The sequence below is a fragment of the Homo sapiens genome, chromosome 17 (genome assembly GCF_000001405.40).
Source record: "Homo sapiens chromosome 17, GRCh38.p14 Primary Assembly".
NCBI lineage: Eukaryota > Metazoa > Chordata > Mammalia > Primates > Hominidae > Homo > Homo sapiens.
Genome location: NC_000017.11, coordinates 66164734 through 66186737, shown reverse-complemented (window position 1 = coordinate 66186737; position 22004 = coordinate 66164734). Strand labels below are relative to the sequence as shown.

The window sequence follows — 22004 nt, the reverse complement described above, 5'->3', positions numbered from 1 at the left end:
TGTTGGAAGCCATCTGACTATAAGGCAGTGCCATTTTTTCCCAGCAACCCTGTAGAGCATGAAGGAGGGCATCAAGGGATTGCAGCCTTGCCAAGTAGAAAGGAAAGATCTAGTGGAATAAGAAGAGAGCATTTAAGAGGACAAGAGGCAGCTGGGCATGGTGGCTCATGCCTGTAATCCCAGCACTTTGGGAGGCCGAGGCAGGCGGATCACGAGGTCAGGAGATCAAGACCAGCCTGGCTAACACGGTGAAACGCCGTCTCTACTAAAAATACGAAAAATTATCTGGGCGTGGTGGCGGGTGCCTACTCGGGAGGCTGAGGCAGGAGAATCCCTTGAACCCGGGAGGTGGAGGTTGCAGTGAGCCGAGATCGTGCCACTACACTCCAGCCTGGGTTACAAAGTGAGATTCTGTCTCAAAAAACGAAAGAAATAAACGAAACGAAAAGAAAAAAGAGGACAAGAGGCTAGTTTCAGACGGGTTTCTTTGCAAGATGACAGAGATGAGAAAGGGGAGTACATGGTAGTCAGATGGTTGGAGCGTTGAGCCTCATGAGGGATTTTGGGGCTGAGGGAGGAAGAGCAGTAGTTGGGAAGTGGCAGGATGGATCTTGGTAAGTGTTTTCCTTCCATTGCATGGTTGAGTGGAGAAAGTGAAAGACTACAGAGGATGCATGAGAGAGCGGGTGGGGAGAGAGAGAGAGAGAGAGAGAATGAGAGAGATTATGAGAGACCTTGGCTTACCTCTAATGACTGAGGAAAGTAAAGTCAGCAAGTAAAAGCTACGATTTACTTACAGAGACAGGGTAGAGAGAACTTTCTATGAAGAGGTTGTTAATGATGAAATGATGGAAACCATTTGATAATGTGGTAAATATTAGAAGCTGGTTTAGCAGATAGAGGGCAGTTTGTGGAGCAAGATAGCTTATGAGGCAGAACAAAGCTTTTCACCGAATATAGAATTTGTAAATGGAATAAATGACAAATTGGCACTATTCATAATGTAAAGGTAGCGCACATCCCTATCAGGACATTTCACAGTTTAAAGGAACATGTAGTGTGTGTATGTATTTTTAACTTAACAAATTTTGTCAAAACCTACACTTTTGATTTTTGGGATTCACCCCCTTTGTATTCAGTGTTTTTCTTGTTAATTAGAAGGAAGTATGATGACCAATATTTTACAGTTTTTAAAAAGGATTAAAAAGTTTAAATTTGGCGGGGCGCAGTGGCTCATGCCTGTAATGCCAGCACTTTGGGAGGCTGAGGTGGATGGATCACGAGGTCAGGAGTTCGAGACCAGCCTGACCAACATGGTGAAACCCCATCTCTACTAAAAATAGAAAAGTTAGCCGGGCATGGTGGTGTGTGCCTGTAATCCCAGCTACTCAGGAGTCTGAGGCAGGAGAATCACTTGAACCCAGGAGGCGGAGGTTGCAGTGAGCCAAGATTGTGCCATTGCACTCCATAGCCTGGAGAACAGAGCAAGACTCTGTCTCAAAAAAAATTTTTTTTAACTTATATACAGCAAATGCACTTTTTTTGGCATATAGTTCTTGCCACTGTAGGTTCTTATAACTTCCTACATAGATAGTGTACAGAAAAATTCCAACATGCCAAATCGTTTCTTTGTGCCATCCCTTTGTGTTGAGACTCTGCCCCCACTGCTATCCCCATGAGCTGCTGATCTGTTCTTTATGCCTATATTGTTTGCCTTTTCTAGAATGTCACACAAATGGAATTAGTATGCAGCCTTTTGAGAAGGGCTTCTTTCACTTAGCATAAGGATTTGAAGTTTCCATGTTTTGTGTGTATCAGCAGTTCATTCCTTTCTGTTGCTGAGTACTATGTTATTGTGTGGATATGCCACAGTTTATCTAGTCACCATTTGAGGGACATTTGGGCTGTTTTCAGTTGTTTGGTGGTTATTTAAAAAAAATCACATTTGGATTTTTTTGTGTATATAGATTTTTCTTTTCACTTAGCTAAATACTTGGGAGTGGGATTTCTGGGTCATAGGCTGAGTGTATGTTTATTTTTGTAAGAAACTGCCAAACTGTTTTCCAGAGTGCCTGTACTATTTTGTATTTCTACCAGCAATGCATGAGAGTTTCTGTTGTTGTCCATCCTCACCAGCACTTGGTATTGTTTGCATTTTTAATGTTAGTGGTATCTCAGTATAGTTTTAATTTGCATTTCTGTAATGATATTGAGCATCTTGTCATGTGCTTACTTGCCATCTGTATTTCTTCTTTGGTAAAGGGACTAATTTTTTTTGCTGATTATCGGGGTAGTTTGTTTTCTGATTGTTGAATTTTGAGAGTCCTTATGTATTCTTGATACAAGTCTCGTATGAGATGTATGATTTGCAAATATTTTGTTCTGGTCTGTGGCTTATCTTCTCAATTCCTTAACAACGTCCTTTGCAGGACAGTTTTTTTTTGTGAAGTTCAATATGTCAGCTTTCTTTTTTATTTTTGAGATAGGGTCTTGCTCTGTCACCGAGGCTAGAGTTTAGTGGTGCGATCATGGCCCACTGCAGCCTTTACCTCTCACACTTTCAAACAATTCTCCCACCTCAGCATCCCAAGTAGCTGGGACTACAGGTACGTGCCACTACACCTGGCTAATTTTTAATTTTTTTTTTGTTTTGTAGAGATGGGGTCTCACCAAATTGCCCAGGGTGGTCTTTAACTCCTGAGCTCAAGCATTCCTCCTGCCTGGGACTCCCAAAGTTCTGGGATTACAGGCATGAGCTATCATGCCTGGTCAGTTTTTCCTTTTGTGGATAGTGCTTTTAATGTTGTATATAAGAAATCTTAGCCTTACTCAAGTTTGCAAAGATTTCCTCCCATGCTTTCTTGTAAGAGTTGTATAGTTTTACATTTTTACACTTAGGTCTGTGATTCATATTGAGTTAATTTTTATATACAGGATGAAGTTTAGGTTGAAGTTCTTTTTTTTTTGTATATGGATATCCAATTGTTATGACATCATTTGTTGTAATAACTGTCATTTCTTCATGGATCACACCTTTGTTGAAAATCAGTTGTTTATGTTTGTTTTGGTCTGGTTTCTGGACTCTCTAATCTTTTCCACTGATCTGTCTATCCTTTCACCAATACCAATTGTCTTGACTACTGTGGCTTTGGAGTACATCTTAAAATCTGGTAATGTGAGTTCTCCAACTTTGTACTTTCTCAAAATTGTTTGGGCTCTTTAGTTCCTTTACTTTTTCATGTAAATTTTAGAATTAAGCTTATCTCTACAAATAATACGGCTGGGTTTTGATGGGAGTTGCATTAAATCTACAGGTCAATTTGGGGAGAACTGATATCTAACACTTAAGAGTTTTTTTTATCTTTCTCATCAGAGTTTTGTAGTTTTCAGCATACAAATCCTTAATATTTTGATTTAAAATCTTTTACAGATTGGATTATGGAAGTGGGAAGTGAAGAAGAAAAATGGGAGAAGCTGGATGCAGAATTTGATCACTTTGTGGTTGATATGAAGCCCTTTGTTCTAAAATTACCTCATAGGACAGGTAAGATTATGTTTGAAGATTAGATTCTTAAGATTAATTTTTTTCTTTATATTATTTAGTCAAACCAATGAACTATCAACATGGAAGAAAAACTGAATTTCTCTAGTAACAATTTTTGCCATTGACATAGGACTGTTTACACTGAGTTGTTCAAGGGTAGATAGACATTCAGTGATAATGTCCTGCCAAACTGTGGAAAGATCTTATTGTGATGCCTCGTCTCACATGTCATGAACTTATAGCACATGGATCTCTAAAGTTAGCTACAACCTTTTTTCTTGCATCTTTTTCTTTTCTCTATGGAAATTTTTCTTGCAAATTTTTCTTCTTTCTATGGAAAGGGCCAGAGACAGGAGGAGCCTAGTGTTCTCCTGTTCTCCGGCCCTGTCTATCAAAGCAGAAAATAATCTATTGGTTTTTTATGCTTATTTGTTGGCAGAACAAAATCCAGTGTGAATAAAGTTTTGTTGCTATCTTGTCTCCAATTCCTGGCCTGTTATTTCTAATTATGGAATGAAAGTCTTTTTCTCAAGTTAGAGAATTTTCATGTAACTTAAGACACTAGAGAACAATTGGGGAGAATTTTGGGGACTGGGAAGATTCTCTAAGGCGTAGTAGGTGTGAGATTGTCTGTAAAGGTAAATATGACTTGGTAGCTTTTGAGTGGTAGGTTTGGAGTGGGACCAAGAAACTATGGCTTTTACTTTCTGTAAGTTGCCTGTTTCCCTAAGGTGTCTGAGTAGACTCTATATTCAGTGAGGAACTGACTCAGTATTAAATATAGCAATCCCCCTTAATCTTGAGGAATACATTCCAAGACCCCCAGAGGCTGCCTGAAACAGCTGATAGTACTAAAACCTATATATGCTCTGTCTTTTCCTATACATACACACTGATGATTAAATTTAGTTTATCAGTTAGGTACAGTATGAGATTAACAGCAATAGCTAATAATAAAATAGAACAATTATAACAATATAATGTAACAAAAATTGTGTGAAAGTAATTTCCCTCTTTCTTTCAAAATATCTTATTGTATTGTGCTCACCTATTTTTGGACTGCATTCGAGTGTAGGTAACTGAAACAGAGGAAAGCGAAACCATGGATAAGTGGAGACTGTTGCATTTATTCCAGGGAGCTGTGTTAGGAGAAGGGAGTATGATATATAAATTATGCATTCCGTGTTCACTTATTGTTCTAGGGCCTTCAACCTTTCCTAGTCCTGGGTAAGTTGCCATGGTCTTCCCTTGAAGACCTCCTCCTCTGCCTTCTGCTCTTGACCTTGTCAGGCTTTAACCTCTTCTTTCTTCCTCTGCTATTTTTCAAATGACTATTTCATGTCCTATGACTTGTTCATGATTATTTGAATGATATCTAATGATATTTTTATATTGCATCCTCTTCTGATATTCACTACATTTTTTCTTTTTGTCTTAGATTTGCTGATTAGGAAACATTTGTATTAAAATTTCTCATTGTAAATGTATTTCAAATCAAACCATCCCCATATTTTATCTTCTTTAAAAAAAGATTTTAGGGGCCAAGCGCGGTGGCTCATGCCTGTAATCCGAGTACTTTGGGAGGCTGAGGCGGGTGGATCATGAAGTCAGGAGATCAAGACCATCCTGGCTAACATGGTGAAAGCCCGACTCTACTAAAAATACACACACACACACAAAATTAGATGGGCGTGTTGGTGGGCACCTGCAGTCCCAGCTACTTGGGAGGCTGAGGCAGGAGAATGGCGTGAACTCGGGAGGCAGAGCTTGCAGTGAGCCAAGATCACGCCACTGCACTCCAGCCTGGGCGACAGAGCGAGACTCCATCTCAAAAGAAAAAAAAAAGTTAGGTACATAGAATTCATTAATTATAATCTTTGATTCCTTGACACATTGTCAGTATTGGTACATCTATGGCATTCTTTTATTTAATTAGTTTATAATAAGCAATCTGAAACTCACATCTTAAACAAGAACTAGAAATTCATAATAAATTACATCTTATTGCTAAATTCAACTTGTGATAATGGGTTTTCCCATTATTTTACATAGAGGAATGCTTTCATTAACCAAATTGTACTAAATTCTGGACATTAGAATATTATATAGATTTCAGTTTGCTATGGGATGTGGAAAGTATGTAGATTGAAAAACTATTTACTTAAGTTTATCAGTTTCACTTTTGTATTTTCTTCTTGTTCAAAGTGTTCCCAATATTTCATGAAGTTTATTTTATGATTATATAATTTTCATATCAAAAAATACAAAAAATTTTAAAGGCATAAGTTTCCAACCTGAAATGATGTTTGCACCATAGTAAATCCGGTCTTAGTGTATTTTTGTAGGTAAAACAATAAATGAATATGACCTTTGTAAACTAAAAGATTAGAGCAGATTTATGATTTGCATTAGATATATAATCCTCAAATTGACTTAGACTGATAAAAAATTAATACCAGAATAGTTTTCCTGAGACCTAAAACAATCCTGTGTCATGGCAAGATAATATAGACCATTATATGTAGATTAAACTGTGCTGTGATTTTTAGGTAGATTTTGAAAAGAATAATTATTTCACAAAATGACATGTCAGTAGTGCTCAATTATTTTTAAAGATGTTAAAACCCTCAATCAATCAGCTACAAATCCCTGGGTATTATTGGATTTCATAAATAAAACATTCAAGATTTAATTTTAGAGTAAGTTGAAAATGCTTAGATAAATCAGAGATTGCATTTTATCTCTTTCAAGGTTTACATAATTAAAATTATAGAAAGATTTTTCAATATATCTAAAATTATTTTAGAGATGCAAAATTATAACAAAATTTTATCACAGAATTTTATTTATAAAAAGTCTCCCAGCAAAGGAAAGCCCTGGACCTGATGGCTTCACTGATGAATTTTACTAAACATTTAAATAATAACTAATACCAATCTTACTCAAACTATTCAAAAAAATAGAGGAGGGAGGAATATTTTCAAAGTCATTCTGCGAGGCCAGTATTACCCTGATACCAAAACCAGACAAAGATACATCAAAGAAAGAAAACTACAGGCCAGTATCCCTGATGAACATTAATGCAAAAATCCTCAGCAAAATACTTGCAAGCAGAATTCAACAATATATTAAAAAGATCATTCATCATGACCAACTAGGATTTATCCCAGGGATGCAAGGATGGTTCAACAGATGCAAATCAATCCATGTGATAAATCATAACACAATGGTGGACAAAAACTGTATGATCATTTCAATTAATGCTGGAAAAGCATTTGATAAAATTCAACATCCCTTTATGATAAAAACCCTAAAAAAAACTGGGTATCAAAGTAACAGTCCTCAACATAATAAAATTCATATATGACAGACCCATAGCTAGTATTGTACTGGATGGGGAAAAACTGAAAGCCTTTCCTTTAAGATCTGGAATACAACAAGGTTGACCACTTTCACCGCTGTTATTCAGCATAGTATTGGAAGTCCTAGCTAGAGCAGTCAGGCAAGAGAAAGAAATAAAGGGCATCGAAATTGGAAAGGAAGAAGTCAAATTATGCTTGTTTAAAGATGCTATGATCTTATATTGGAAATACCTAAAGACTCCCCCAAAAACCTATTAAAACAGATAAACAAATTCAGTAAAGATGCAGGGTACAAAATCAACATACAAAAATCAGTAACATGTCTATATGCCAACAGCAAACAATCTGAAAAAGAAATCAAGAAAGTAATCTCATTTCCAATTGCTACAAATAAAATAAAATACCTAGGAATTAACCAAAGAAGTGAAAGATCTCTATAATGAAAACTATAAAACATTAATGAAAGAAATTGAAGAAGACACAAAAAAACAGAAAGATACCCTATGTTCATGGATTGGAATAATCAATATTGTTAAAATGTCCATACTACCCAAACCAATCTGCAGATTCAGTGCAATCCCTATCAAAATACCAATGACATTCTTCACAGAAATAGAAAAAAACAACCTTAAAATTTATGTGGAACCACAAAAGACCCAGAATAGCCAAAGTTATCCTGAGCAAAAATAATAAAACTGGAGGAATTACATTACCTGACTTCAAATTATACTACAGAGCAATTGTAACCAAACCATCATGGTACTGGCGTAAAAACAATCACATGGACCTATGGAGCAGAATTAAAAACTCAGATACAAATCCGTACATTTACAGGAATTTCATTTTTGACAAAGGTGTGAAGGACTTACACTGGGGAAATGACAGTCTCTTCAATAAATGGTGCCATTTACTTAAGTTTATCAGTTTCACTTTTGTATCTTCTTGTACAAAGTAATCCTGATATTTCATTAGTTTGTTCTGTGATTACGTAATTTTCACAGCAAAAATGCAAACATTTTTAAAGGCATTCTTCTGTATACGGATATCAAGTTTTCAATATCCGTATACAGAAGAATGAAACTAGACCCTTGTCTCCCACCATATACAAAAATAAAAATGGATTAAAGACTGAAATCTAAGACCTCAAACAAGGAAACTGCTAAAAGAAAACATTGGGGAAAATCTCCAGGGTAGTGGTCTGGGCAGAGATTTCTTGAGTAATACTCCAAAAGCACAGGCAACCAAAGCGACAATGGACAAATGGGATCTCATCATGTTAAAAAGCTTCTGCAAAGGAAACGATCAACAAAGTGAAGAGACAATCCAGAGAATGAGAGAAAATCTTTTCAAACTATTCATCTGACAAGGGAATAACCAGAATATATAAGGAGCTCAAACAACTCTATACAAAAAAATCAAATAATCTGATTTAAAAATGGGCAAAAGATCTAAATAGACATTTCTCAATAGAAGACATACAAATGGCAAACAGGCATGTGACAAGATGTTCAACATCACTGATCATCAGAGCAACGCAGATAAAAACTGCAGTGAGATATTATTTCACCCCAGTTAAAATGGCTTTTATCCAAAGACAGGCAATAACAAACACTGGCAAGGATGTGGAGAAAAGGTAACTCTCCTACACTTTTGGTGTTAATGCAAATTAGTGGAGTGACTACGGAGAAGAGTTTGAGGTTCCTCAGAAAAACTAGAAAATAGAGCTACCATGTGATCCAGCAATCCCACTGCTAGTTATATACCCCAAAGAAAGGAAATCAGTGTATCCAAGAGATATCTGCACTCCCATGTTTGTGGCAGCACTGTTCACAATAGCCAAGATTTGGAAGCAACCTAAGTGTCCATCAACAGACAAATGGATAAAGAAAATGTGATATATGTACACAATGGAGTACTATTCAGCCATAAAAGATAATGAGACCCTGTCATTTGCAACAACATGGCTGGAACTGGGGGACATTATGTTAAGTGAAATAAGCTGGGCACAGAAAGACAATCTTCATATATTCTTACTAATTTGTGGGAGCTAAAAATTAAGACAACTGAACTCATGGAGATAGAAGGATGGTTTCCAGAGGGTGGGAAGGATGGGTGGGGAGGAAGTAGGGATGGTTAATGGGTACAAAAACATAGAGTGAATGCGACCTAGTATTTGACAGCACAACAGAGTGACTACAGTCACTAATAATTTAATGGCATATTTAAAAATAACTAAGAGTATAATTGGATTGTTTGTAACACAGAGGATACATGCTTGAAGTGATGGATAGATACCCGATTTATCCTGATGCGACTATTATACATTACATGCCTGTATCAAAATATCTCATGTACTGCCTAAATATATATATCTACTGTGTACTCACAATAATTAAAAATTAAAGTTATTTAATGATAATCTAGAGATTTTATTTTTGAGAAAATATTTCTTTGCATTTGTCTTTCTCATTTACCAATTACCTAATAAAGTGAAATTGTAGACCAGGAGTTAGCAGACAATGGCCCATGGGCCAACTCCTGCCCACAGTCTTTTTTTGCCAGGTTTTATTGGAACATAGTCATGCCATTTGTTTACTTATGGTCTCTGAGTGCTTTCATGCTACAGTGGCAGAGTAGTTATGCCAGAGATCATATGGCCTGTGAAGCCTAAAGTATATACTCTCTGGCCTTTAACAGAAAAGGTTTGTTGGTCCTTCTTTTAGACTAAAGCAGGTGCTATTATAGGTCTTTGTAATTGAATGTTTCATTTTATAAAAAATAAAATTTCTAATAGTTCTTCTGTATTTATAGAACGGCAGAGGTGTGCTCTTTGGATTAGAAAGCTGTGCGAACCTTCAGGAACAGGTGCAGGAATAATGGGGAGGAAGAATCGGAACCTGTATGCAAAATTGTTATTGCATATGCTTAAACGAGGTGCGCTTGAAGGCCCTTTTACACACCGACCTGAACCCGGGACACTAAAAATTCTACCTTCATACATGGTAGGTATCAATGAACAAAAGGTATATATTAGTTTCATTTAAAAAAAAGCGTCAAGTTATCATCCCTTTGGGGAATGGTAATACTATTAGGTTGTATGTGCTAGATAATATATTAAAATTGTTTTTTTTCTTCCTGATTCAATTTTTTTCCACCTTTAATAAAATACATGTATTGCTTATAAGGGGAGTATCCTTATTGATTTAGTTATGCCTCAGTATTCAACAGTATTTCTAAAAAACTGAAAACGAAATTTTTTATATTGAGCTTTACTTTTTGCTAATTTTCACTGGATTGTAATGGTAATTTTTACGTAATTCAGTAAATTCTAGTTTTTAAACTCTTTCATATATATTATTTAAACGTTTATGAGAGGTTGGAGTGCATGATTTGTAAAAGTTCCTTTTTACTCTAATAAAATGACAGTAATGGAGTTTGAAAGTCATTTTCTGTACTTAAATTAATTTCATTGTCAAAATCAGCTTTATTGCAAAGGCAGTTATTATTATGCTTGGTGGATAAATTGTCACTGCCCTGGTCCTTGTAACCATAAAATATACCTTGGTTTGTTTGGTATTTGAGTGCCTGTACTTAAGAAATCTGGAGTACTAGGTATTGGTAGCTTTGATAGTTGCTGTTAGGATATATATGTATTTTTTTAATGAACTGCAGAATTCTTGTGTCATGTATTTTAAAACTTTTATTAGTTTACTTAAAGCACAATTTAGTCAAGTGGCACGCTGAACATTAGAGAATAATTCCTGTTTTCCATGGCACAATGCCAAAAGTTTTAATGACTATGTCATTTAAAAAGAAATTTCTGTGCATGTCCCATATGGAGTGGAGGGTCTTGTGTCATCCTCCCTAAAGAACAGTGCCTTGAGGATTCTGTCTGTAGGATTGGGAGAATTGTTGCAGAGGTGTGCAGTCAATGCAGAGTTTTCTTTAGAAACGTGTAAAGGTAGAACATTTTATGAAGCACATCTAGATGTGAAGATATGAGTACATTGTATCATGTTTTCCCATTCACACTTAATTTCATAGAATCAAAGGGAAGGGCTTTATTTAACAAATAATAATAATGTGAAAGTTTAGAGAACTCTCTTGGGTTTCCCAGCTAGTTAGCAGTGTGGCCAGAACTAAATCCCAGGTTTTTCACTCTGCTGTTCCCACCTTATCAAGGGATTCCTAATTTTAATTCCTGGGTTGCACTGTTTGTGTTTCTCATCCCACTGATTTCTTTTTTTGTGTATGTAAAGTAGTTAGTGATTACAGAAAGAGATAGGATGGCACATAATTAAAAACTTTGTATTTAACTTTTCATATTTAACTAATATTCCTTTAGTAATATAAACATTACTATCAGATTTATCTGTTATGTACTTCTGTTTATTGTATTTCTTAGACAGTAGAGTGCAACTAAAATGTAAATATGTTATCACTTAATGTATTTTAATATCTCATAATTCAATGTACATTTAATTTTTTAAATGTTTGAATGTAATTGAATTTGAGTATTTGAAAGGCTGTTTTCAAACTTGAAACTTGATGGAAATTTTAGTGGTTTATTATAGTACATTTTGAAAGAATAATTTTTCTAATTTTAAAAAATCAGTCCATCTATTTTGATGAACCAAATCCAGCACGAGCAAAAGGTTCAAGCCCAGAGGGATTACCAGCCTGGGTACTGGGTGAGCTGGAGACAAGTGAACACAAATTAAATGAATCATGGAAACTCTCTTCTGGAGAAGATAACACTTTAGTACAGTCGCCAACTGATGTCTACAGGTATGTAAAGAGAATGGGATTTTGAATGTGTTTCATCATTTAGTCTGTCTTTGGAACTGATTTATACATTCTGTTTTTCCTTTTTTTTATAATGGAAGTAGTTTACTTTTCCCTTAACTGCACATTCAAGATTATTTTATATTTTTAGCCATTTAATAGATACCTGTTAACTTCATATATATTTTTGATTGCTTGACAAGTGGTCCCTGAGCATCTTTAAATGACACAATTATGTATTTTCCTTTATGACAAGCATACATTAAAAGCATTATCAATAACTTGAACAAAATATCCTGCAAATCCACCTTGAACAATATTTGTTTTCACTTAATGATATAATGAATGTAAGCGTAAACCCCATTAGACTGTGCTTTCTTACTAGAGTATTAAACTTAAATAGGTTTTTTTAGTGCAAATAAAAATAAATTTCCAAATTTTTGAAATGTTCAAAAAGGCCATTATTGTGGTAGCATAGTTTTTGGCTTTAGGGAAGGGATAGATTTAAATTTGGACTTTTATCAAATTTTTACTTTTCTGTTTGGCCTTATTCCTTGAAATGTTTTAGTAAAATATAGGACAGTGTCAATTACCATGTACCATACTTTATAATTCCTTCCTCACCATTCTCTTGGTAATTTTAATTTTAGAAATCTGTTTCTGTTAACAGTATAATCTTTCTTGTCCACTATAATTTTTTTGGTTTATTCCTTAAACAGATATAGAAATGTTATTAGTAATTTGAAATGTCTCCACAGTTGATGTAGTCTGTTTATATGTTTTTCAGACCTGAGATATTATGGTCGAAAAAGATAAACAGGCCGGGCATGGTGGCTCACGCCTGTCATCCCAGCACTTTGGGAGGCTGAGGCGGGCGGATCACGAGGTCAGGAGATCGAGACCATCCTGGCTAACATGGTGAAACCCCACCTCTACTAAAAATACAAAAAATTAGCCAGGCGTGGTGGCGGGTGCCTGTAGTCCCAGCTACTCAGGAGGCTGAGGCAGGAGAATGGCATGAACCCAGGAGGCGGAGCTTGCAGTGAGCCGAGATTCCACTACTGCACTCCAGCCTGGGCGATAGGGCGAGTCTGTCTCAAAAAAAAGAAAAGAAAAAGATAAATAAAAGTGAGAGATCCAGTCCATATAAAATTATTTCAGTAGAAAGGAGAAACAGAATGGGGAGGCAAAAAGGAAGAGGTGAAATAATTAAGGGCATATTCAGAAGAGTAAAAAGAAATGAATAGATGAGTCTGTAGGAAGTGTGGTGTTAAAATACTTATTTTTACATTCATAGGAGAATTACAATTAGAAGAGGTGTAATTGTAGAATTTTTGTAGCCTTTGAAGCAATCTTTTTATATGGAGGTATAAAGAGATTGTGGTCTGTATACAAAGAAAAATACGATTCTTAGTTTAGCTGCAAAATACATCAGTTGTTTGCCAAAATATCTGCTAAGAGTCCAGCTAAATTCTGGGTTTCTTTCTAGATGTAATGAATGTGGAGTTTACAGTATAAAGGTGAACTAAAGTAGTTTCCTGTATCTTAGAGCTTAGAGCATAGTTTAAAAATATGTGATCTTCCTGGACTGAATGAATCGTGTGGGTAGATTTGCTTGGTTGGACTTAAACAATGTCTTTAACAATTTTAAATGAGTTGTCAAAATTAACATTTGGGGAATTTCATATAAAAGCCCAACTTTCTGGCTTCTCTTTAAAACTGGACACCTAGAAATCTTTCTAAGAGACAGCCATATGTTGGAGCTAAGTAGTGCTTGGTTACCCCCCTTAGCATATGCCTTCATGATTTCCTTCTAATTCCTGACACCAAATTTGATGTCTATTGCATCTGTTATTGAGCTTGAGGTTTTTTTTCCCCTTTAAGTAGGGTTAAGAGGAAAATGAAGTATTTGTTTTTCTATTTTTATGTTCTATCAAGTGAAAGAAGAAAGGTAGAAAAGAGGGATCATGTGATTTAAGAAGGGGAGAGGATTGGGCACAGCCTGTGCGTCTGTGGTCCTAGCTATTCAAGAGGTGGGAGCAGGAGGTTAGCTTGGGCCCAGGAGTGTGAGGCCAGCGTGAGCAATAGGGTGAGACCTCATCTGTGAACAAAAAACAGAAGGGGAGAGACAGACACTATGTCTTTGTAGAAGTGAAGGATATCCTTATATCTGGTAGTATAATCACTCATCTGTTAAGTCCTCCAGACTTTTGATTTATAACCATTGTTTTAGATGAGTGGGGGAGAAAGATGAGCACATGGATAGTTTCAGTGCAGTGGCTATGCTTAGTCATGGAAGTATTTGCAAGGATTCAGGTGTGTATAAGAGAAGGGTTCAGGGTAGGAAATAGACTTGAGATTTCCAGGGAGTCCGGGTGAATAGATTTTTTTCTTCTTTGGAATACAGGATAAAGTTTGAGAAAATACAATGAGAATATCCTTCAACTATTAGCCATTGACTTTTTTGAGAAATGGAACCATAGTAAAATCCCCACAATTGTAAAAAATAACTTAATTCTCTTTGTTGGTCACCTATTATTAAAGGTGTTTTAATGCAAAAGGATTGCTAGAGTATGAGGCATTCGTTGTCAGTTATATAATAAGTAATGGGAAAAGCAGGCACTCTGGTGAGTCCTACCCATCCTTCAGAGATTGCAACGTGAAAAAAGCCTTATCTGATATCCCAGGGCAGTTTAGGCGACCCCGCCATTTACTCCTTTAGTACTCTGTGTTTCTTTGCTGCCTTCATCCCATGTGTAGAGGCTTACTATCTGTCCTGTGTGCTAGATTGTAAATTTCATGAGGTAGGAACTTGTGTTTTTGCTGTTTGCTGTATTTGCTATATTTCCAGCCCCTAGCACTGGGAAGGAACGTGTTAGGAATTCTGTAAGTATCTATATTCAACAGTGAATGCATTCATGAACAAGTAGATTGTGTTAGACACTGCCACATATTTAATTTAATCTGTACAAAATCCCTTTGAAACGGGTATATTGTGACAGAGGAAATGGCCTAAAAGGATTTTTTTTTCTTTTTAACATTTCAGAAAACGTTGAGGGAAGCATAAATTTTAGAAAATATAGAGGGAAGCTTAGATGTAGTTTATAGCGATTCCCTTCACACACTGTGAGGAATGACAATGAAGGAGCTGGAAAGGACATGCTTAAAATATCCTCTGTCAAATGTCAGAATCACTAAGGTCAATTAGGGCTGCCAAAACAAAATATCTCAGGGTATCTTATGTTTCTTTTAATTTAATAGTTTTAACTTGATTATTTTTACAATTTTAATTTGATTTACATTAGTTAACAGATATTTGTAGTTTTTACATACATGAAGACATTTAAAAATAAAACTAACATTTACTTTAGCTAAAGCCAAGGAAACTAATCTTAAGGTGAAATATGTATCATGTGTGACATCAGATCACATTTGGTGGTGAATCGACTATTGATGGTTCTGTCTTATTTCTTTTCTAAATTTCCTCCTTTACTCTGAGTGATCATAGTATGCTAATGAAAAAGTTAGTATCTGCTAATCTTGACTTAATATATCTAATCAGTTCTGCAAGAAATTGTTTTAAAAAGTTTAAGAGGCTTATAATATTTGACACATGTATGTTTTTATGGTGAATAATTTATTGTTACTTAGAACTGAAGTTTAATGCTGCCTCATAAATTTTACAGCCACTTCAACTTGTCCTTTGAAAAACCTCTTTAATCTTAAAAGATTTTTCCCCCTTAGTGTTTCTTTTTTGATCACTTTATAAAATCCTGCTTTACTTAGACCTTTTTGTATGTGAAGTATTTCTAATGGCATTTTAGATGATGCTGTTTGTGTCCTAGCCTTTTTATATTATTAAAGATGCAGAGTCCTTTTGAAGCCTTTTTGTTAGGACTCTCTATTCAGTAGAGATGGCACCTTTCCTTTACTTTTATTCTTCCTGTAGGATATGGTATATAGTCTTGTTCCAAACTTGTTAGAAGTATGGTGAGGTCATACTCCATCTGGCTTATTCTCACGCTTTATTTTTTCCACCAAGTATACATTATATACTAGTGTACTTAGCATTTCACACCAAACAGCTTCAACACTTAGCTAGTAGTCCTGTCCTGGTTCTCTTCTTTGCTTTCATTTTTCATATTTCTTGGTTTAAGATAATCTTATTGCCCATATTTTCTATAAGAAAAACTACTGTTCCACATTGCATTGCTATTATATATCTGTTACTGCATTTTTATGTCAAATATCTGCCTATTTTCTTTTTCTTTTTTTTTTCTTTTTGAGATAGAGTCTTACTCTGTCACCCAGGCTAGAGTACAGTGGCACAGTCTTGGCTCACTGCAACCTCTGCCTCCCAGGTTCAAGCGATTCTTCTGCCTCAGCCTCCAGAGTAGCTGGGATTACAGGTGCGTACCACCATGCCTGGCTAATTTTTGTGTTTGGTAGAGACATGGTTTCACCATGTTGGCCAGGCTGGTCTCGAATTCCTGACCTTAAGTGATATGCCCACCTTGGCCTCTCAAAGTGCTGGGATTACAGGCATGAGCCACCATGCCTGGCCTATCTGCCTATTTTCTTGACAATGAAATATTTTAGTTATATTTGAGTTTGGAGCATGACTTTAGAAAATGTTACTAAGGAGACCATAGACTTAGATCTCATGCATGTATAGTTTGGTTAATTTCATTTAGATCTACAATCATGAGCTATATCAATATATATTATCTTTCTGATCAGCCTTCAGATACTTACCATGGAGGTCTGATAAAGACCTTAATTGTCTTGTTGGTGGTCTTCATGATCCTCCTTCTGGTGTTCATACCCTTATATAATCCCCTCCCCTTGAGTGTGGGCAGGTCCTGTGACTTGCTTCTAACCAATAGATTATGGCAATGGTAATGGGATATTATTCCCAGGATTACATTACTTCATCTTGCCAGTAGACTTGCTGTCATTCCGTTTGCTGGTTTTGGAAAATGCAGCTGCCACAAATCATACATGAATCAGATAGCCATAAGGAACGGAATGCTGCTGACATCCACACAAGTCGGGAAGTGAATCCTTCCCTAGTTGAGCCTCTAGATGAGAACCCAGGTCTGGTCCAATCATGATTGCAGCCTTTTGTGGCCCTAAACAGAAGACCCAGTTCAGCTGTGCCTGGACTTCTGACCTGCAGAAACATGAGAACATTTATGTGTGTTGTTTAAAGCTGTTAAATTTGTAATAATTTGTTATAAAGCAATAGATGACTAGTACAGTCTTTATCCTCATTTTGGAAAAGTATGCAATCTATATATATAATACATGTTTATAAAAACCTCAATATAGAAATATTTAGAGTAAAAAGTCACAATCCTTCTGTGTCCTCTTTATCCCACTTTGGAGTGGTAATCACCATTAACAATTTTGTGCATATCATTTTACAATAGACATCCACACCTATATAATTAAGAAATTACAGGCCGGGTGCGGTGGCTTATGCCTGTAATCCCAGCTCTTTGGGAGGCCAGGGCGGGCGGATCACAAGGTCAGGAGTTCGATACCAGCTTGGCCAATATGGTGAAACCCCGTCTCTACTAAAAATACAAAAAAATTAGCTGGGCATGGTGGTGGGTGCCTGTAGTCCCAGCTACTCGGGAGGCCGAGGCAGGAGAATCGCTTGAACCCAGGAGCCAGAGGATGTAGTGAGCTGAGATTGCACCACTGCATTCCAGCCTGGGTGACAGAGTGAGACTCTGTCTCAAAAAAAAAAAAAAAAAAAGAAGAAATTAAAAATTGGCTCATAATGTACATACTGTTCTGAGACTTGCTCTTTTTTTTACTCAGCTATGTCTTAAACCTGTATCATGTGGACTTCTAAATTACAGATAATCCATAATGTGGATATACTATAATTTAATCTGTCTCTTCTGCTTTTAATTTTTTATTGTTATAAAGAATGCCTGAGTTTACATCCTAGTAATCCATCATCAGGCACCTTATTTAAAAATGCACCCAGGGTTTGTTTTAATCAGACATTATACGATGACAGACATAGAGACAAGTTGCCTTTGAAAGAAGAGTTTATTTCTCACAGTTTCCAAGAGGAGGGAGGCATGCCACACCATGCAGGCCATGTGGAGAAGCACAAGGGTTGGTCAGGAGGCAGAAGTAGCAAGGAGAAGCATGGGTGAGAGCCTTTTTATATAGTGGTGGGATGTTCCCTATTGGACAGAAAGTGAAATACCGATGTTGGGGTTTGTAGTTGGAGGGTTTGTAATATAATTTCCAAGTGCCCACAAAAAGACAGGAATGGTAAGGATGTGGACAACTTTGGCTGTTAGTTTGGTCCATGATTTCAAGATGCCAAATTATCAGTTAGAATATCAAGAAGGATTATTATATGCCTGCATCTGTTTTGGGCTATTATGGACTCCTAGGTGAGAAATTGCTTTGTTGGTGGAGTTATTAGTTGGTTCAACATCTTGTGCAATGGTTAAAAATATATATATATATACACACACACACACATATATACATATATATACACACACATATATACATATATATACACACACACATATATACATATATACACACACATATACATATATACACACACATATATATACATATATATACACACACACACACATATACACATATATATACACACACATATATATAGGTTATTATGGCAAGATCTAATAGGATAAAGTTAAAAAGAAGTACATAAAGTATAGGAAGCTTCCGTTTGTGTTTGTGTATATGTGTTTTAGAGGCTCTGTGGATACATATGTGTTCGTGTGCAGGGAATCTTTCTGGGTACCACACATGAAACTGTTAAAGGTGGTTAGCTTTAGGGATTTGGACTAGTTTGGAGTGTACATTTAAAAACGTTCTTGTAAAAAAAATGTGTCTATGGTATTTCTAATAATCACACTCTTATTTTGATAGATACTGTTCAGTTGCCTTCTGAAATATCATCTTGTTAAAATGTTTGTGCATACACATTGCAAATTAATAAATTTGTATAACAGATATATATACATTTAAACATAAAAATAAAAAATTTTCTAGTAAATAAATGTTTGTGGATTCCACTTGTATTTCTAATTTGTGAAAGCAGAGGCCAAGTGAGGCAAGTCATACCATTTATGGATCTCCTACTGCATGCTAGGTACTGTTCTAGAAATCTTTTCCAAGTCATCAGATTGAATCCTCTCTATAGTCCAGTGAGGCTGACATCATTGCCCTTTTGTATTTATAGACAAGATAACAGCTTCAGGAAAGTCCAGTGACTTTTCCAGTGATGGATCCAATATTGGAATGCAGGGCCTTATGATTTCACACCCATGTTCTTTCTAGTGTATCATATAGGCATAAGTACTTTATGCAGCAAATATGGAAATTTCAGTTTTATCTGTTTTTTTCCACTTGTGCTGCGTCAGCAATCCTGGGCAGCTATACCTTTGTTTTTGGTTATTTCTAGGTTGAGCTGAAAGAAAGCAGTTTGCCTTTGTTCACATTCCACTTCTGACACTTGGCAACCATCTGTCCTCAGGCAAGTTACTTAATTTCTCTAAACCCCAGTTTCATCACTCGTAAATGGAGATAGTGGTAGTACTAACTTCGGGGTTAGTACTACCACTATCTCCATTTGCAAATGGAGTTGTAAGGACAAAGTGAAATAAGACGTGTAGAGCCCTTGACAGAGGGCCTGTTAAGTGTTAGCTGCGGCTACCACCATCATCACTGGTATGGTGATCATTATTGTAATAGTTCATCAGGGCCTTGCTTGTTAGATTGTTTGACCATGCTTTTGCTTCCCTAATTACTAATCCTCCCAAAGGGTATTATCTTAAAGTCTGTTGGTCATTAATTATTTTCAGTTACTAAAAGTCATTTTGTATTCCCTGAGAAAAATAAATTATGACTCTGCAGAAAGGTTATGATTGTAAGTATGAATCCTGCACAATATCAAAATAAAGAATGGTAATTCTATTTTAAAAGAGGCTTTATAGGAATCTTTAAACAATGTAATAGGCCTCTTTTTCAAGGATAGAAGGAACACACAGTGGCTGGCCTCATTGTTTACATTTTTTCACGCCATATATTTGAAGCTGCCTAAGTAACTGTGTGTTTTTTTTTTTTTTTTTTTGAGATGGAGTCTTGCTCTGTCACCCAGGCTGGAGTGCAGTGGCACGATCTCGGCTCACTGCAACCTCTGCCTCCCGGGTTCAAGCGATTCTTCTGCCTCAGCCTCCTGAGTAGCTGGGATTACAGGCGTGTGCCACCACGCCTGGCTAATTTTTTTATTTTTATTTTTAGTAGACACGAGGTTTCATCGTGCTGGCCAGGCTGGTCTCGAACTCCTGACCTCAGGTGATCCCCCTCCCTCGGCCTCCCAAAGTGCTGGGATTACAGGTGTGAGCCACCGTGCTCGGCTGGTAACTAATATTTTGATTTTAGTTCACATCATCTATATATTCTTCATGCTTTATCTCAAAGAACACAAAAGTAATAGGTTGTATTCTTGCTTTACAATTCTGTGAAAAATGTTTTGAAGCTTCTTGTTAATGGCTTGTAGTAATTTTATGTCTTTTCAGTGAAGTATACGTGGTCTGGTAGCTTATCACCAAAGTGCAGTGAGGTTCTGGGATAGGGAAAGATGTAAAAAAATGATTTAATAGCACTTATTATTTTTACTGAAAACTTTGATTAAAAGTTAGGGTAGGGTGAAGAGGAGTAATGTTAAATAAACCCTGACCTTTAAACACTGCTTTACAATGGAAGAAACACGTTGCTTCTGCTTATTTGAGAGGAATTTATTGATGAAAAAGAAGGCATTTAATTAGGTGCCATTTTATTAGGAGCCTACACCAGATTGCTTAGGATTTCTAGGAGAGTGCAAATAATTATTATTAACTACCTACTATTTTTACCATATCAGATTTAGGCTAATTTTATATAAATTATATTTATCTTTTAACTCATGTTGGGTCATCTAAATAATACATGTGTTCATACCTGTAAGAAAGAACTTGGAGAATAATTATCCTATTTTAAATAATTATAGAGGACTATAGTTTTTACATCTTTGCTTTAATGAGATTTTGCCATGGGTTATTTGATGCTAGATTTTAGTTTGGAATGAAGATTCTAATTATGGTCCTGCCCTTATGGAAAATGTGACTTGCTTTATAATGATCCTCTTTATGATATGGTTTTCCAGGAATGCATTGTGGCAAAAAGCTGGGATTCTGTATGTCTTACCCCAATATAGCTAGCATTTCATTTGTGTGTGCAGTTTAATAACATGGCCAGCAGATGGTGATCAAGTATAATGAAAACCCACTTGTGGTTGAAGAAGTTAATCTATGTGAGCAAACATTTTTCACTTTAAAAATATTGATTTAATTTTTTAGTCTGGGCATGCAAAAGAATCTTTTTACTTTGTTAAACTCCACTTTTATATGTAAATGATACTATATAACATTATAAATTGCTCCTCCTGAAATTGTTGGATAATTTAGCAAGGAGCCAATCAATACCTTTCCTTCTTAGTAAAACCTTCTTAAATATTACCTGCCAAAAGTACATTCATTTTATTTGTGAATAACCCTGATGTTTGGGCAGATATGTGTTCTACAGCAGTACTGTTCAATAGAACTTTCTGATGGTAATGTTCTATAGGCGGCACTGTCCAATACAGTCGCCACCAGTAAACGTGACTATTGAACACTTGAAATGTGGCTGGTGTGATTGAAAAACTGAATTTCTAATTTTAATTAACTTAAATAGCCACATGTGATTAGGGGCTACTGTGTTGGGCAGAACAGTACCAGATCCGAATCTTCTGCTTGGCCATTGCAAAACCTGACTGACCAGATGGAGAGCTGGTGGCCTGTTCTCTGTCTCGGTGGGGATGTGGGGTAGGAATGGGGACTAGGGCTTGGGTGCTGGTGCATAGAAACTGGCTCTGCCACATGGGAGACCTTTCTTCTGTGCTTACTTGCATTTCACGGGCAGCTCCCTTTTTTGGTGATGATCACCCATGATCAACATCTAGTTGCTCTTGGTCAATTTCTGCTGTCAGAGGAGCTCCTACTAACAAAAAAGAAACTGTTTATAAATAAATATACACACACACACACACACACACACACACACACACATATATGTGTGTATATATATATATATTTTTTTTGAGATGGAGTTTCACTTTGTTGCCCAGGCTGGAGTGCAATGGCACGATCTCGGCTCACCACAACCTCTGCCTTCTGTGTTCAAGCAATTCTCTGCCTCAGCCTCCTGAATAGCTGGGATTA

At 36.3% G+C, this 22004-nt stretch overlaps 1 protein-coding gene across 16 annotated transcripts in view; it reads left to right on the top strand.

Annotated features, from left to right (window-relative positions):
- Nucleotides 1-22004, top strand: part of CEP112 (centrosomal protein 112) — a 556597-nt gene that overhangs the window by 5396 nt on the left and 529197 nt on the right. For all 16 annotated transcript variants that reach the window (XR_007065281.1, XR_007065280.1, XR_007065282.1 and 13 more), the window contains exons 2-4: nt 3431-3544; nt 9718-9908; nt 11522-11694. Coding sequence is in view for 13 of the 16 variants with exons in the window: in NM_001353128.2 (NP_001340057.1) it covers nt 3439-3544; nt 9718-9908; nt 11522-11694 (470 nt within the window). In the remaining 3 variants the exon portion in view is untranslated. The remainder of the gene's footprint in view (nt 1-3430; nt 3545-9717; nt 9909-11521; nt 11695-22004) is intronic.